The 15,775-nt window shown below is 45.1% G+C and overlaps 1 protein-coding gene across 1 annotated transcript in view, besides 1 other annotated feature; it reads right to left on the reverse strand.

Moving 5' to 3' along the window:
- Positions 1-15,775, reverse strand: part of GLDC (glycine decarboxylase) — a 113,263-nt gene that overhangs the window by 65,373 nt on the left and 32,115 nt on the right. Inside the window, exons 4-8 of the mRNA NM_000170.3 lie at positions 12,353-12,517; positions 8,753-8,830; positions 7,292-7,439; positions 6,749-6,945; positions 4,270-4,366 (exon numbers count right to left, since the gene is read on the reverse strand). Coding sequence (NP_000161.2) covers positions 4,270-4,366; positions 6,749-6,945; positions 7,292-7,439; positions 8,753-8,830; positions 12,353-12,517 — 685 coding nt within the window. The remainder of the gene's footprint in view (positions 1-4,269; positions 4,367-6,748; positions 6,946-7,291; positions 7,440-8,752; positions 8,831-12,352; positions 12,518-15,775) is intronic.
- Positions 609-848: an enhancer, noted in NCBI's record as "active region_28187". NCBI's record gives its function as "activates an Ori minimal core promoter by ATAC-STARR-seq in GM12878 lymphoblastoid cells {active_cell/tissue: GM12878}" and the evidence as "EXISTENCE:reporter gene assay evidence [ECO:0000049][PMID:35858748]".

The following is a 15,775-nucleotide window of genomic DNA, read 5'->3' on the forward strand; positions in this document are numbered from 1 at the left end:
GCAGGAGAATGGCGTGAACCCGGGAGGCAGAGCTTCAGTGAGCGAGATGGCGCTACTGCACTCCAGCCTGGGCGATGGAGCGAGACTCGTCTCCAAAAAAAAAAGAAATAAGAGAATATAAAGAACAGAACATAATGAAAATTCAGACATCTGTAGTAATGCCACAAATTTATAGAAAAAATTGTTTCTTTTCCTTTTTGTTTTGTAGAGGTGGGGTCTGATTCTGTCACCCAGGTTGGAGTGCAGTGGTGTGATTGCAGCTCACTGCAGCCTGGACCTCCCCAGCTCAAGCACTCCTACCACCTCAGTCTACTGAGTAGCTGGGATACTGGTGTGTACCACAACACCTGGCTAATTTTTGTACTTTTTTTATATAGACAGGAGTCTCACTATGTTGCCTGGGATGGATTTAAACTGCTGAACTCAAGTAATCCTCCTGCCTTGGCCTCCTAAAGTGTTGAGATTACAGGTGTGAGCCACCGCACCCTGTTTTTTCAGTTTTGTTTTAGAATGGGGCCTGCTGAGCCAGAATAGGCTCAGAGAGACTCCCTATAGAAAAATTTATTTAAAAAAGAATCATTAACACACTTTCAGAGATTAAAAAAGAGTCATGCCCCATCCACGATGCGAAACTAAGAGTGGACTCCCCCACCCACCCCAGTGACAAGAGAGAAGAGCAAGAGTGAGAAGAATGTGGAACAGCTGCTACAACAGAAGGCGGGGGTCAAAGACCTACAGCACAAAAGGAACAACTCAAAAGACACCAGTCATCTCCTAACAAAACAGGGAGACTTGCATGCTCACAAAGAGTGAAACTGGAGTTATGAGTAATTCTTGTATGCAATCAACTATGAAAAGGCACATATGCAGTGAAATAGACAGTGAAGAGTTAGAAGATCATCAGAATAAGAGGATGAAAATCAGACAAGCTGGAGTATGGCCATCTCCAGGGCAAACATTTTAACAATTGCTGGAAAAGATACAGACCTTTCAACCCAAGTTAAATAATAAATTATCAGCTATACATGAACTGGAAGAAATTAAGCAACAGGAACATAAGGCCGGGCACAATGGCTCATGCCTGTAATCCCAGCACTTTGGGAGGCCAAGGCGGGCGGATCACCTGAGGTCAGGAGTTCGAGACCAGCCTGGCCAGCATGGTGAAACCCCATCTCTACTAAAAATACAAAAAATATTAGCCAGGCATGGTCGTGGGTGCCTGTAATCCCAGCTACTCAGGAGGCTGAGGCAGGAGTATCGCTTGAACCCGGAAGACGGAGGTTGCAGTGAGCCGACATCACGCCATTGCACTCCAGCCTGGGCAACAAGAGAAAGACTCCGTCTCAAAAAAAAAAAAAAGAAAGAAACAGGAACATAACTGGTTCACTGCAGACAGCCCAAATTCACCTGGAAAATGAACCTAGAGGCAGAAAACTGAGGCCCTAAATGGACTTATGATCAGACGGAAACCTGGAGGAACCTGAGGAGAAACAGCAAGACAGGAGCAGTCAGCTGCACCGAAAGGGAAAACGTAAGCAGAGAATTCAACAAATGGAGGGTAAGCTACAGAAAGTGAGGCCACCATATAAAGATCACCATGTGGCCAGGCATGGCGGCTTATGCCTGTAATCCCAGCACTTTGGGAGGCCGAGGTGGGCAGATCATGAGATCAGGAGTTCGAGACCAGCCTGACCAACATGGTGAAACCCTGTCTCTACTAAAAATAGAAAAATTAGTTGGGCATGGTGGCAGGCGCCTGTAATCCCAGCTACTCAGGAGGCTGAGGCAAGAGAATCGCTGGAAACTGGAAGGCAGAGGTTGCAGTGAGCTGAGATTGGGCCGCTGCATGCCAGCCTGGGTGACAGAGCAAGACTCCATCTCAAAAAAAAAAAAAACAACCAAAAAAACAAATAAATAAATAAAGATCAGCTTGCTGTTCAACAGAGGAAAAGCCTGTGCCAACCACCTTTCCTTCCTATCATACTGGAAGAGCTCATATTTGAAAAGAGGTGGCACCTTCCTGAGGCAAAACATAATACAAAAGGACCAACTGAGGAAATGGCTCCAAAGACCCGTGGCTGCAGAACCAACTATAAGAAGATCTTATTGCCCACTGCCTTCCTGGAGAAGCTTTTCAGAGGTGGTTCTAGACGCCAAAGCCCTGAGACGAAAGAGCACTCTACCTCCCATTGAAGCACCTGTGACATCTCTCTCTGACACTTCATGGAAGAGATGCAATTACAGTGGCCAGGCACGGTGGCTCATGCCTATAATCCTATCACTATGGGAGGCCAAGATAGGATCACTTGAGCTCAGGAATTTGAGACCAACCTGAGCAACAAAGTGAGACCTCGCCTCTACAAAACATTTTTTTGAAAATTAGCTGGGCGTGGTGGAATGTACCCATAGTCCCAGCTACTTAGGAGGCTGAGACCGGAGAATAATTTGAGCCCTGGAGGTTGAAGGTTGAGGCTGCAGTGAGCTATGGCCATGCCACTGCACTCCAGAATGGACAACAGAGCAAGAATCTGTCTCAAGAAAAAAAAAAAAAAAGAAGCCAGGTGCCATGGCTCACACCTACAATCCCAAAATTTTGGGAGGCCCAGGCAGGACCATCACTTGAGGTCAGGCGTTTGAGACCAGCCTGGCCAACATGATGAAACCTGCCTCTACTAAAAATACAAAAATTATCTGGGTGTGGTGGCCTGTAATTCCAGCTCTTTAGGAGGCTGAGGCACAAGAATCACTTGAACCCAGGAGGCAGAGGTTGCAGTGAGCCAAGATTGCGCCACCCCATTCCAACCTGGGTGACGCAGGAACAGGACTCTATCTCAAAGAAGAAAAAAAAAGAAGAAGAAAAAAAAAAAGAGATGCACTTAGAATGGATCCTGTGCTCAGGAGTGGGCCTCCAACTGATCCTAGGGTTTGGCTGGGTTTCACAAACACTTCGACCTAAGCCCTGGAGCAACTTCAAGGAGCAGAACCCAGAACCCTGGTCAGAACCCAGGAAGCTCTTCCTGTTTTATCCCATCCTTTTAAAGAATGCCAGACATGGCCAGGTGCAGTGGCTCATGCTTGTAATCCCAACACTTTGGGAGGCCGAGGTGGGTGGATCATGAGGTCAGGAGTTCAAGACCAACCTGGCCAAGATGGTGAAACCCCGTCTCTACTAAAAATGCAAAAACTAGCCTGGCGCTGTGGCAGGCGCCTGTAATCCCAGTTACTCAGGAGGCTGAGGCAGGAGAATTGCTTGAAACCGGGCAGCAGAGGTTGCAGTGAGCTGAGATTGCGCCACTGCACTCCAGCCTGGGCGACAGAGTAAAACTCTGTCTCGAAAAAACAAAAAAAAGAATGCCAGTCATAATCTCCCAGTAAGAGTGCCTCATGACTACCACCATCCCCTCAAGCACAGTCATCACAAATGCCCTTGCTTTGCCTTCCTCAACCCATTCCTGGAGAGGCTCCTTCTCAGTCCTAAGAGAGGGTGTCTCAACTGCCACCCATAACAAACCTGGCCCAACGCCAAGAATACTAGAGACCCTGATATCCATCTTTCTATTTACATATATTTTAAGTCTGTATATAAAAGTGAAGACTGGCCTTTTTTGTCCTTTCTTACGCTTTGCCTGTTCAGGATCTGAAGATGTGATTATGGGTAAAATGAAACAAATAATGCTTTTTATTTTTTTTAGTATTAAAACATGTATGGTGAAGAGAAAGCATAGGCAAATGGTGTACATATAAAGAACACCAGTAAAACACAGTGTCTTTTTCTTTAACTTTTTTTGTGGGGGCAGGAGTTGGGGACAGAGTCTCCCTCTGTCACTCAGGCTGGAGTGCAGTGGCATAATCATGGCTCACTGCAGCCTCAACCTCCCAGATTCTGGTGATCCTCCCACCTGAGCCTCCCTAGCACCTGGGACTACAGGAGCATACCACCACTGACGGCTAATTTATTTTATTTTATTTTTCATAGAGATGGTGTTTCGCCATGTCGCCCAGGCAGGTTTCCAACTCCTGGGCTCCAGCAATCTGCCTGCCTTGGCCTCACAAGGTGCTGGGATTACAGGCATGAGCCACCGTACCCAGCCAATACTGTATTTTGGTTCTCATAAGACAATGAGCCTTCTACACCAATAAGATCTTGCCATTTCTGGTGTGCTCACTGCTCAGGAGGTGGTGAATAAATGAACAAATGAATGAATGAATGAGTAGCTCATTTCTGTGTATCGTAAGGCATTCAGTAGTCAGGTCAGACGTGTGATTTACCTGAGCTGTACAGATGTTGCTGGTAGCCTTGTCTCTCCGAATGTGTTGCTCCCTGGTTTGAAGAGCAAGACGATACACTTCTTTCCCAGTGGCATCTCTACACCAAGAATAAGGCATCCAGTTAGCACAGATAATCACAGCACTGGGAGATGCTATAAATAGAATTACTTCTTTCCTTCCCAGCTTGAAGTGAATTCAGCAAATGCACTTGGGTGCAAATTTATAAAGAAACAATTTCTAAACGTTCCTCATCTAAACATGATTACTGATTTTTTTTTTTTTTTTTGAGACGGAGTTTCGCTCTTTCGCCCAGGCTGGAGTGCAATGGCGTGATCTCGGCTCACTGCAACCTCTGCCTTCTGGTTTCAAACGATTCTACTGCATCAGCCTCCTGACACCACGCCCAGCTAATTTTTGTATTTTTAGTAGAGATGGGGTTTCACCATGTTGGCCAGGCTGGTCTTGAACTCCTGGCCTCAGGTGATCCGCCTGCCTTGGCCTCCCAAAGTGCTGGGATTACAGGCATGAGCCACTGTGCCCAGCAGGATTACTGATTTTTAGACTGTACTCTGAGACACCAAGATATATACAATAAGTCTAGGAATTTTGAAAGAAAATTTTGCAGGAATTTCCCAGACAAATACAATAATGGTGACTGGGAGGATTAAGTTTCACTCTGAACTTCTTAGGAGACACAGGAAAAGTGGAAATATACGACAAAATTGAAAAGACTTGGCTCTCTGTGGATTCTACACCACAGATTCCACCAATCACGGACTGAAAACATTCAAAAAAATAAAAAATAATACAACAATTAAAAATCACACAAATTTTATGAGCCGCGCATGGTGGCTCATGTCTATAATCCCAGCACTTTGGGGGGCCAAGGTGGGCGGATCACCTGAGGTCCAGAGTTTGAGACCAGCCTGGCCAACATGGTGAAACCCCATCTCTACTAAAAATACAAAAATTAGCCAGACATGGTGACAGGCACCTGTAATCTCAGTTACTTGGGAGGCTGAGGCTCAAGAATCACTTGAACCTGGGAGGCAGAGGTTGCAGTGAGCCAAGATCGTACCACTGCACTCCAGCCTGGGTGACAGAGAGAGACTCCGTCTCAAAAAATAAAAAAAAAAAAACAAATCACACAAATTTTTAAAAACAATACAGTGTAACAACCATTGCATAACATTAGGTGTTAATAAGATGATTTAAAGTATACAGAGGCCAGGCATGGTGGCTTACACCTGGTAATCCGAGCATTTTGGGAGGCTGGGGTGGGCAGATCACTTGAGCCCTAAGACCAGCCTGAGCAATATGGTGAAACCCTGTTTTTACAAAAAATTTAAAAAATTAGTTGGACACAGTGGCCACGTTTACACCACTGCACTCCAGCCTGGGTGATGGAGTGAGACTTGGTCTCAAAATAAATAAATAAATAAATAAATAAAATTTTAAAAAAACACACTTCACATTATCATCACATCATTGACTAATTCAGCTTACTCACTTATGTTAAAGTCCAGCTTTTATCAAAGGTCAAAAACATAATTTTTTTTTCTAAATTTCCCCAGTAATAATCCTGGAATGCATCTAGGTCCCCCGCTCCTTTTTTTTCCTTTTTTTTCTTTTTTTTTTTTGAGATGGAGTCTCGCTCTGCACCCAAACTGGAGTGAGGCAGCGCGATCTCGGCTCACTGCAACCTCCACCTCCGTGGTTCAAGTGATTCTCCTGCCTCTGCCTCCCAAGTAGCTGGGACTACAGGCGCCCACCACCACGCCCACCTAATTTTTGTATTTTTAGTAAAGACAGGGTTTCACCATATTGGCCAGGCTCGTCTGGGACTCCTGACCTTGTGATCTGCCTGACTCGGCCTCCCAGAATGCTGGGATTACAGGTGTGAGCCACCGCACCCAGCCCTTTTTTTCTTTTCTTTTCTTTTTTTTTTAAGGAACAAAGACTACTTCTGAACATCTACGTTTTTAATCTGAGAAGTTTCACCAATGAGAAGCAGTCAGGAAAGTACATTTGGAAATTTGGAAATTACTCAAATGGCCACGTGGCGGAAGCCTCTAGGAAGGAACGCGGAGCAAACTCAGTGTGTACTTTGCAGTCTCAGTGCATTTGTCTTTACAGAGCCACGTGGCATAATGCTTTTGAGAACGAAAACTGTCGAGACACAAAACATGCCTAAAATATTTAGTCTTTCAAGGCGTCCATCAATCTAAGCAAATGCGTTACATGACTTCGATACATTGTAAATTATACACAAAATTTTTCAAAAATTTACAAATTTATAGTATTTGAGAAGTACTAGCTCATATCCCAAACAGAATTGTTCTTCTGAATCTATGTTGTACATTTCCTTAACTGACTCAACATGGCCCAGTTGAATTCAGATAGAAATCAACATTTGTGATCAGAAGAAATCAGGGAAATCATAATCACAATAAAAGTAGAGAAACATGAGCCCCTTTACCTTGTTACCCCCACCATTCTTCCAGGCATCATTCTCACCAAGCTTTCTCGGACAGCAAAAAATGCTGCATGGGGTCCCCCATAGCCCAGTGGCACTCCAAATCTCTGGGAGCTGCCCAGGGCGATGTCTACCCCAAATTCTCCAGGTGGCCTCAAGATGCACAAAGCTAAAAGGTCAGTAGCACAGCAGGCCAGGCTCTAGAAAGGAAGTGAGAGAAAAGGAACAAGGTTGCTACCTTTCCCTGAGAGTAGTGGGAGAGTAGGAAATTATCTTAACTACAGGAAGACGGGCAGAGTGTGTTCACATCCTGTGAACTCCATTGCTCATTCATTCATTCAGTAAATACATACTGAGTGCCCACCATGTGCCAGGAATCCGGGAACAGAAAAAAGTAGCAGCAAGGAGTCAGGAAGGAGAGTTTTACCATTCCATGTGATAATGGTAAAGAAATTAAGGCACATGAAAAGACAGAGAGAGAGATAGGTAGACAGATACAAGTTGGGATACGCCTCCACGGACCCCCCACAAGAAAGGTATACCTACCCCACTCTGATGAGCTCTCTCCACGAGTTCCGTAAAGTCTTCCACCTTCCCCTCCGTGTCTGGGTACTGGAACAACACTCCACTGACATCTTTTCCACTGAAGTCCATTTCACAGGGTAACTTCAGCTCAGTGAGGACTCCAGTATATCTGGAAAGACAGACAACAAAGAACAATCGTGCTTTCGGTTTATAAGGGAAAATTAATTAACGTTTCTTTTCCAGTAAGACAGCATTCATTTTCTGTGCCCTCCCACAGTGGCCTCCCACCCCTGCCCACATCCCGTCCCACAGGCACTTCAGTGGTAACTACATCACAGCAACTCAAGCGCATCCAACAGCTCTGCTTCTGTTCCTCTCTTCTATCCTCTGACTCCCCTTTGCCCTTTCCTGTCACAATCTACTCCTCAGAGAGGCCCAAGAGCATTGCTTCCTAGGGCTAATGAGCCAATATTTGTTAACAACAGAGCCATCACCTCTTTCACTGGCATCACTCTTAAGTGAATGGAAAACCATAAGTAAGACAAGGAGGAAGAACTTCCTTAGATTCCTGAACTAATAATGCCAATTATATGTCAGAAACCCCCCCTCTGAAGGGATGGTGGTATGGGTAGGGGGAAGAATGCTCAACTTTTACAAAGGGAAAGCAAATATCTACCAATAGTGGTTGTTGCGAGGATTGTTTTACCTGATTACAGCACGAAAGAAAAGTACTACACTTTAAACTACATAGCATCTCACCTAGGGACTCTGCACACCCTCTGTAAACTACGTTTGCAAGGAATACACACAAAATCTTAACAGTTGTATGTGAGTCCCATTTTTCTCTGTTTTTCAAACGTTCCAAAACCTGATCAAAACAATATTTTTATTCTTTCTACAAAAAGAAAACAAAACGGGCCGGGCGCAGTGGCTCAAGCCTGTAATCCCAGGACTTTGGGAGGCGGAGGTGGGCGGGTCACGAGGTCAGGAGATCAAGACCATCCTGGCTAACACGGTGAAACTCCGTCTCTACTAAAAATAGAAAAAAAATTAGCCAGGCGTGGTGGCGGGCACCTGTAGTCCCAGCAACTCGGGAGGCTGAGGCAGGACAATGGCGTGAACTTGGGAGGCGGAGCTTGCAGTGAGCCTAGGTTCCCTCAACTGCACTCCAGCCTGGACGACAGAGCGAGACTCCGTCTCAAAAAAAAAAAAAAAAAAAAGAAGAAGAAGAAAACAAAACACAACTTACTATAAAGCAATGGCAATTGTGTATTTCCCCACTCAATTCTGACACAGTTTACTTACCAGAGAGATGCCCAGAAGAAAGTGAGAGGTAAGGCAAAACTCAGCAACCCCAATTTAAACAGCAAAAAACCCTGTTTCAGATTCACCTCCAATCAGTTTGGAAGTGAGAAAGAGAAAGAAACAGCAGAGATGAACATGACATTATACTGAGTTTAAAACACGAATCAAATTAATTACTTGGCTCGAGTCTGGACAACAGCTATTGTCTGTGGGTGGCAACGGGGATCAACGAGAAATTTCCTCCTCTTGTTGTGTCTGTTGAAAAGAAAAAGCACATTCCAACGTGAACATTAAATAAATAGGACTATCTTCTAAGAACGCAAAGCAAACATAGTACCGAGGGTAAGTCTAAGCACAGTATAAAAAATACTGAGTAGGCCGGGTGCGGTGGCTCACGCCTGTAATCCCAGCACTTTGGGAGGCCGAGGCGGGCAGATTACCTGAGGTCAGGAGTTCGAGACCAGCCTGGCCAACGTGATAAAACCTCGTCTCTACTAAAAATACAAAATTAGCCGGTGCATGCCTGTAATCCCGGCTACTTGGGAGGCTGAGGCCAGAGAATCACTTGAACCAGGGAGGCCGAGGTTGCAGTGAGCCAAGATTGCACCGCTGCTGCACTCCATCCTGCGTAAGACGAGCAAAACTCTGTCTCAAAAAAAAAATTTAAAAAAAAATTGAGTCATCAGTAACTAATGGCATTTACTGATTAGCATTCCTCATAGATCCAATTCCCATTCTAACCCCATTTAGAAAGTCAGTCTTAAGATGGTTCAATTTCTATGTTTACTCAATAACAATTTTTAAAAAATGGTTCAAAATGTTTCAAATATACCATGAGGAAAAAGAAAATAAAGCAAAGGACAGTGATTAGATACAAGTGTAAACTGGACAGGTGCGGTGGCTCACACCTGTAATCCCAGCACTACGGGAGGCCGAGGTGCGTGGATCACCTGAGGTCAGGAGTTCAAGACCAGCCTGACCAACATAGCAAAACCCCAGCTCTACTAAAACTACAAAACGTAGCCAGGCATGGTGGTGCACGCCTGTAATCCCACTACTCGGGAGGATGAGGCAGGAGAATTGCTTGAACCCGGGAGGCAGAGGTTGCAGTGAGCCAAGATCGCCTCACTGCACTCCAGCCTAGGCCACAGAGCGAGACTCTGTCTTAAATAAATAAATACATACATACATAAATTAATAAATAAAATAGTTTATTTATTTATTTTTATTTTATTTTTGGTGGGGGGAGAACAGGGTCTCGGTCTATCGCTCAGGCTGGAGTGCAGTAGCGCCATCACAGCTCACTGCAACCTCGACCTCCAAGGTTCAAGTGCTCCTTCCACCTCAGCACCCCGCCCCTACATAGTTGGGACTACGGGCATGTGCCACCATGCCCAGCCAATTTTTGTATTAAAAAAATAAAATTGGCCGGTCATGGTGGCTCACGCCTGTAATCCTTATACTTTGGGAGGCTGAGGTGGGTGGATTGCTCGAGCTCAGGGGTTCAAGACCAGCCTGGGCAACATGGCAAAACCCTATCTCTACAAAAAATACAAAAATTAGCTGGGCATGGTGGCATGGGCCTATAGTCCCAGCTGCTTGGGGGGATGAGGCAAGAGGATTACTTGAACTGGGGAAGTCAAGGCTGCAGTGAGCTGAGATCGTGCACCCCAGCCTGGGTGACAAAGTCAAACCCTGCCTCAAAAAAACAATTGAGGGCCGGGCGGGGTGGTTCACGCCTGTAATCCCAGCACTTTGGGAGGCCGAGGCGGGCAGATCACGAGGTCAGGAGATCGAGACCCTCCTGGCTAACAGGGTGAAACCCCATCTCTACTAAAAATACAAAAAAAAAAAACCCTTAGCCGGGCGTGGTGGCGGGCACCTGTAGTCCCAGCTACGTGGGAGGCTGAGGCAGGAGAATGACGTGAACCCAGGAGGCGGAGCTTGCAGTGAGCCGAGATAGCGCCAGTGCACTCCAGCCTGAGTGACAGAGTGAGACTCTGTCTCAAAAAAAACAAAATAATTAAAACAAATAAATTAACTCGGCCGGGCTCAGTGGCTCACGCCTATAATCCCAGCAATTTGGGAGGCCGAGGCGGGCGGATCATGAGGTCAGGAGATCGAGACCCTCCTGGCTAACAGGGTGAAACCCCATCTCTACTAAAAATACAAAAAAAAAAAATTAGCCGGGCGTGGTGGCAGGCACCTGTAGTCCCAGCTACTTGGAAGGCTGAGGCAGGAGAATGGCGTGAACCCGGGAGGCGGAGCTTGCAGTGAGCAGAGATCACGCCACTGTACTCCAGCCCGGGCGAAAGAGCGAGACTCCGTCTCAAATAAATAAATAAATTAATAAATAATAAATAAATAAATGAAATAAGATAAAAAGCAATTTTTTAAAAAAAGAGGGAAGATGAAAATTAGCAAAAAGCTGAGAATAATAACCAGAGAGGTGGGTGGATGGCACTCTTTTGTGGCTGTGTGTCCCTGACAGAAGGGAGAACCTGAACCCACCCCCAACGGCTGCTCAGGAATCAGAAAGGCCTATGGCTGGAATGCACCAGAGGCCTCTAAACTTGCTGACCAAGTATGGAGCTCACTCCCCACCCCAACTCTGCATAAGCCAAAAAAGAGGCTTACATGGGCATTCAGGGCTAGGAGCACAAAACCTAAGACACGGCCAGCATGTGTGCGTCTTTCCCAACCAGATGGCCATCTACATGAGAATTCCACCAGGAAGGTACACTCCTAAGTACTGGCAAGGCAAATAAGGGAAGCAGAAGAAATGGAGAACCATCCTGATTCAGTAAGTCCACTTCCAGAAATGGCTCTTCAGGAAATAATCAGAAGTTTTGACAAAGATTTATTATAAGGATGCACATGAAGTACTATTAATAACAGTAAGAGACGGAAATAAACTATATGTGTAATAGACGAGAGATTAAATAAATTATGGCACTTCCATGTAAGTGCCATGGAGATAATAGAAGTCCTACTCTATGGGCCTGAGAATCCACCCTTGACCACAGTGCCAGGACCTTTGTCACTACCCTCTTACAACCCCACCAAACAGAGACCCTCATGCCTTTACACTCAGCTATGCTGCCAAGGTTTGGAACAACGGAGAGGCTCCCGGGCACTCAGTCATGTGTGTGTGTTATGGGGGAGATCCTCACGTCTGACCCACACCTGCCCTTGAAACACCCTCACCCCCACCCCCAGCCACATCTATCCAAAGTCCACTCCTAATTGAGCTTCCCCCTCCCCTGCTCCCGCCCTCTGCCCTCCCAAAGCTAGGTGCCGAGTCAGCTGTTTAAGGTCACATTTCCACCCTAGCCTCACTGCCCTGCCTTGAGAGACCTCACCCTGTCCCCTGAACAACCCTGCTGGCCCACCCTCGCAGCCCCCAGGCCTGCGCTTGGCTGCTTCCCCAAGCCAGCACTTCCCAGTGGGGGACCTGGCACCGGCTCCCTGTCCTTCCTCCCAAAAATAGTCCCCTCACCAAATATGCAGATGTCTTTACCCCTCGCCTGCCAACCTCAGCCCTCCCGTCTGATCTTCCCCAACCCCAACCAAAATCCGGGTGGAGACACCAAGAAGGACCCTGAGAGGAAATATCCAACCTCTAGGTTTTTGAACCTGTTGAGTTTTTCAGTTTCTCTGAAAAGTCATACTCTAGAAAGCTGACTAAAGTAATATTCACAATATACTATAGAAAGAAAACAAGGCCAGGCGAGGTGGCCCACAACTGGAATTCCAGCACTTTGAGAGGCCTCTCACCTGTAGCACAGCTGCAGTGCCTCTGCGGCTGCAGTCCCCTCATCCAGCAGGGATGCATTGGCCATGTCCAGGCCTGTGATGTCACACACCATGGTCTGGTAGTTGAGTAAACTCTCCAGCCTCCCCTGAGACACCTCAGGCTGGTATGGAGTATACTGGGTGATCCTGCAAGGGAAACAAAAGGTCTTGTCCAAACTGACTGCTGTTTAGAGAAGCACACAAAATGCTATCATTTCAGAATTCAGTACCTGAAAATAATTTGCCTATCTTGAGGAGAATTACATAACACACCAGTAAGCTTCTTTTTGGCCTTTGTAAAGCTTAGAATTAAATCATAGTAACAATATTACCCTTTGTTTGGGGATAAGCAGTACTTATTTTTCTATCTCTCTGGTGTTGTTTTTTTGTTTTTTGTTTGTTGGTTTTTGAGACAGGGTCTCGCTCTGTCACCCAGGCTGGAGTGCAATAGCATGATCACGACTCACTGAGCCTCAATGTACAAGGCTCAAGAGATCCTCTGGCCTAAGTCTCCAAAGTGGCTGGGACAACAAGCACATGCCATCACGCTCAGCTAATTTTTGTATTCTTTGTACAGCCAGGGTTTTGTCATGTTACCCAAGCTGGTCTTGAACTCCTGAGCTCAAGCAATCCACCTGCCTCGGCCTGCCAACATGCTGGCATTATAGGCATGAGCCACTGCACTTGAGGCTACCTATAATATCATAAACAGAAATTTCATTTGCTATTATCTTTCCCCTAGATAAAAGACCTCATTCACATTTTACAATAGGAAAGCATCCAAGAATCTAACATGTAATACTCAAACATTTTATTTATTTATTTGGATATTTGTTTTATGTTAACCAGGAGAAGTTCTACATGCTAAGAAATTAATAGAGGTCTACTTAAGAATTCTCATTATCCAGTTACTAAGAGTCCATGGCAGTTAACTCTATGGCTATTGAAATTCCAGGATGGAAATGTTTAGAAGGCAACGTAAACATGGATTCTAACTTTATCTCCTTCAATTATTAGCCAAGAATGTGGCTTTGGATATGTCAGTTAGCCAATTTAGTTCCTTCATCCTTACAGGCGAGAGCTACCACACCTCACCTATTTTACTTGGGAGGTCAAGGCGGGCGGATCACGAGGTCAGGAGATCGAGACCATCCTGGCTAACATGGTGAAACCCGTCTCTACTAAAAATACAAACAATTAGCCAGGCGTGGTGGCACGTGCCTGTAGTCCCAGCTACTCAGGAGGCTGAGGCAGGAGAATCGCTTGAACCCGCGGGGCGGAGGTTGCAGTGAGCTGAGATCACGCCACTGTACTCCAGCCTGGGCAACAGAGCAAGACTCCGTCTCAAAAAAAAAAAAAAAATTAGTACATCATGAACATCTCCCACATCAGCAAATATGTTTTACAGCATCATTTTCAATGAATGCATAGTATTATATTCACACTGTCTAATTATCATTTCCTTTTTAGCAGACACTGCTTGTTTTTTCTGTTGTTTTCTGTGCTGTGATGAATTCTTTGGAACATTATTCTCTGTCTTCCTGTCGTATATCTTGTGCCTGTCTTTATGGATATACTAAGTCTTTCCTATTTATCAGATGGACTAGATTGTATGTGTGTATTCCTGCATGTGTATGTGTTTCTACATGACAAATAATGATTCCAAGTAAAATGAAAGTTTTTTATTACCCAAGCAATCTAAGCACTTGGCTGGAGTAGTGCCACATCTGTCTTCACGGTGTCAAGCCATGTGTGTAGATCTTGTCTGATTCAAGATCACAACTGCCTGCCTGTTGTCTATGCCTTTTGTATGACCCCATTTCTGTTCAGATTTCCCTTTCTATTTGCCTACACCATGTATTGTGTGCCTCATTCATTCCAGTTCACCACCCACTTAGAATCTGGCAAACTAATTTACAGTTGCTAAGCCAGTCTCTTCAAGCAAAAATCCATTCTGTTGTATACACACACACACACTCACTCTCTCACACACACACACAAACACACACTCTCTCACACACACACTCTTTCTCTCTCTCTCTCTCACACACACTCACACACATACACATAGCCGCACACCAACACCCCAATACAAGTCTCAGGAAATTATTTCAAAGTCTCGATATTGTACTGCTTGGAAAGGCAACCTCCCCACCACACTCCCTGTCAAAGATAAGAAGATGTTGGTTTCAAAGCTTTCAAAAAAGAAAGAAAGAAAAGTAATGAAAGAAAAGTAGATGGAGGCTGGGCATGGTGGCTCACACCTGTAACCCTTGCACTCTGGGAGGCTGAGGTGGGCAATCACTCGAGCCCTGGAATTCGAGACTAGCCTGGGCAACATATGAGACCTCACCTCTACAAAAAAATCAGGCCAGGCGCAGTGGCTCATGCCTGTAAGTAATCCCAGCACGTTGGGAGGCTGAGGAGGCGGATCACGAGGTCAGGAGTTCGAGACGAGCCTGGCCAATATGGTGAAACCCCGTCTCTACTAAGAATACAAAAATTAGCTGGGTGTGGTGGCACGTGCTTGTAGTCCCAGCTACTTGGGAGGCTGAGGCAGAAGAATCGCTTGAAACCAGAAGGCGGAGGTTGCAGTGAGCCAAGATCATGCCACTGCACTCCAGCCTGGGTGACAGAGCGAGACTCCATCTCAAAAAACAAAAAATAACCATGAGGCTGGAGGATAGTTTGAGGCTGCAATGAGCCATGATCACGCCTCTGCACTCCCGCCTGGGTGACGGGAGTGAGACTCTGTCTCAAAAAATAAATACATAAAATACAAAACGTTCTCGTTTTTATAAGTTTGTAAAAACAAGTAGATGAACCAAAATGTAAGCTGGTTTTCTCTGGGAGGTAAGATGATTAACACTAAATTTTCTTTTTATTGTATGTTCCAAATGTTAAAGAAACCAGCTACCATTCATTAACCATCTCTTATGGGTCAGGAACACATTTACCACCTTTTTTATGATTATGTTATACATGTTCTTTGTAACAAGTTGGAAAATCCAGATAACTATTGAGAAAATAAAATCACTTAATTTCCAAACTTTAACATAACTACAGTTAACATTCAGGTGCATTTTTTCCAATCTCTTTTCTACATCATAATCTATTTATACTAAAAGTAGTACTGGCCAGGCGTGGAGGCTCACATCTGTAATACCAACACTTTGGGAGGCCAAGGTGGGAGGATCACTTGCACCAGGAGTTCGAGACCAGCCTGGGCAACATAGCGAGACTCTGTCTCTACTAAAAATAAAAGAAGTTTTTGTATCTTAACTTTTTTCAGTTAACATTATTCCATGAACAATGTCTAACATAACATCTTTAAATACTATTCAAAAACATGATTTTAACTGCTCTATGGTATTAAATAACTTATGAAATAAATTATTTAAGTTA

The sequence above is a fragment of the Homo sapiens genome, chromosome 9, assembly GCF_000001405.40.
Source record: "Homo sapiens chromosome 9, GRCh38.p14 Primary Assembly".
In the NCBI taxonomy this organism is placed as follows: Eukaryota; Metazoa; Chordata; class Mammalia; order Primates; family Hominidae; genus Homo; species Homo sapiens.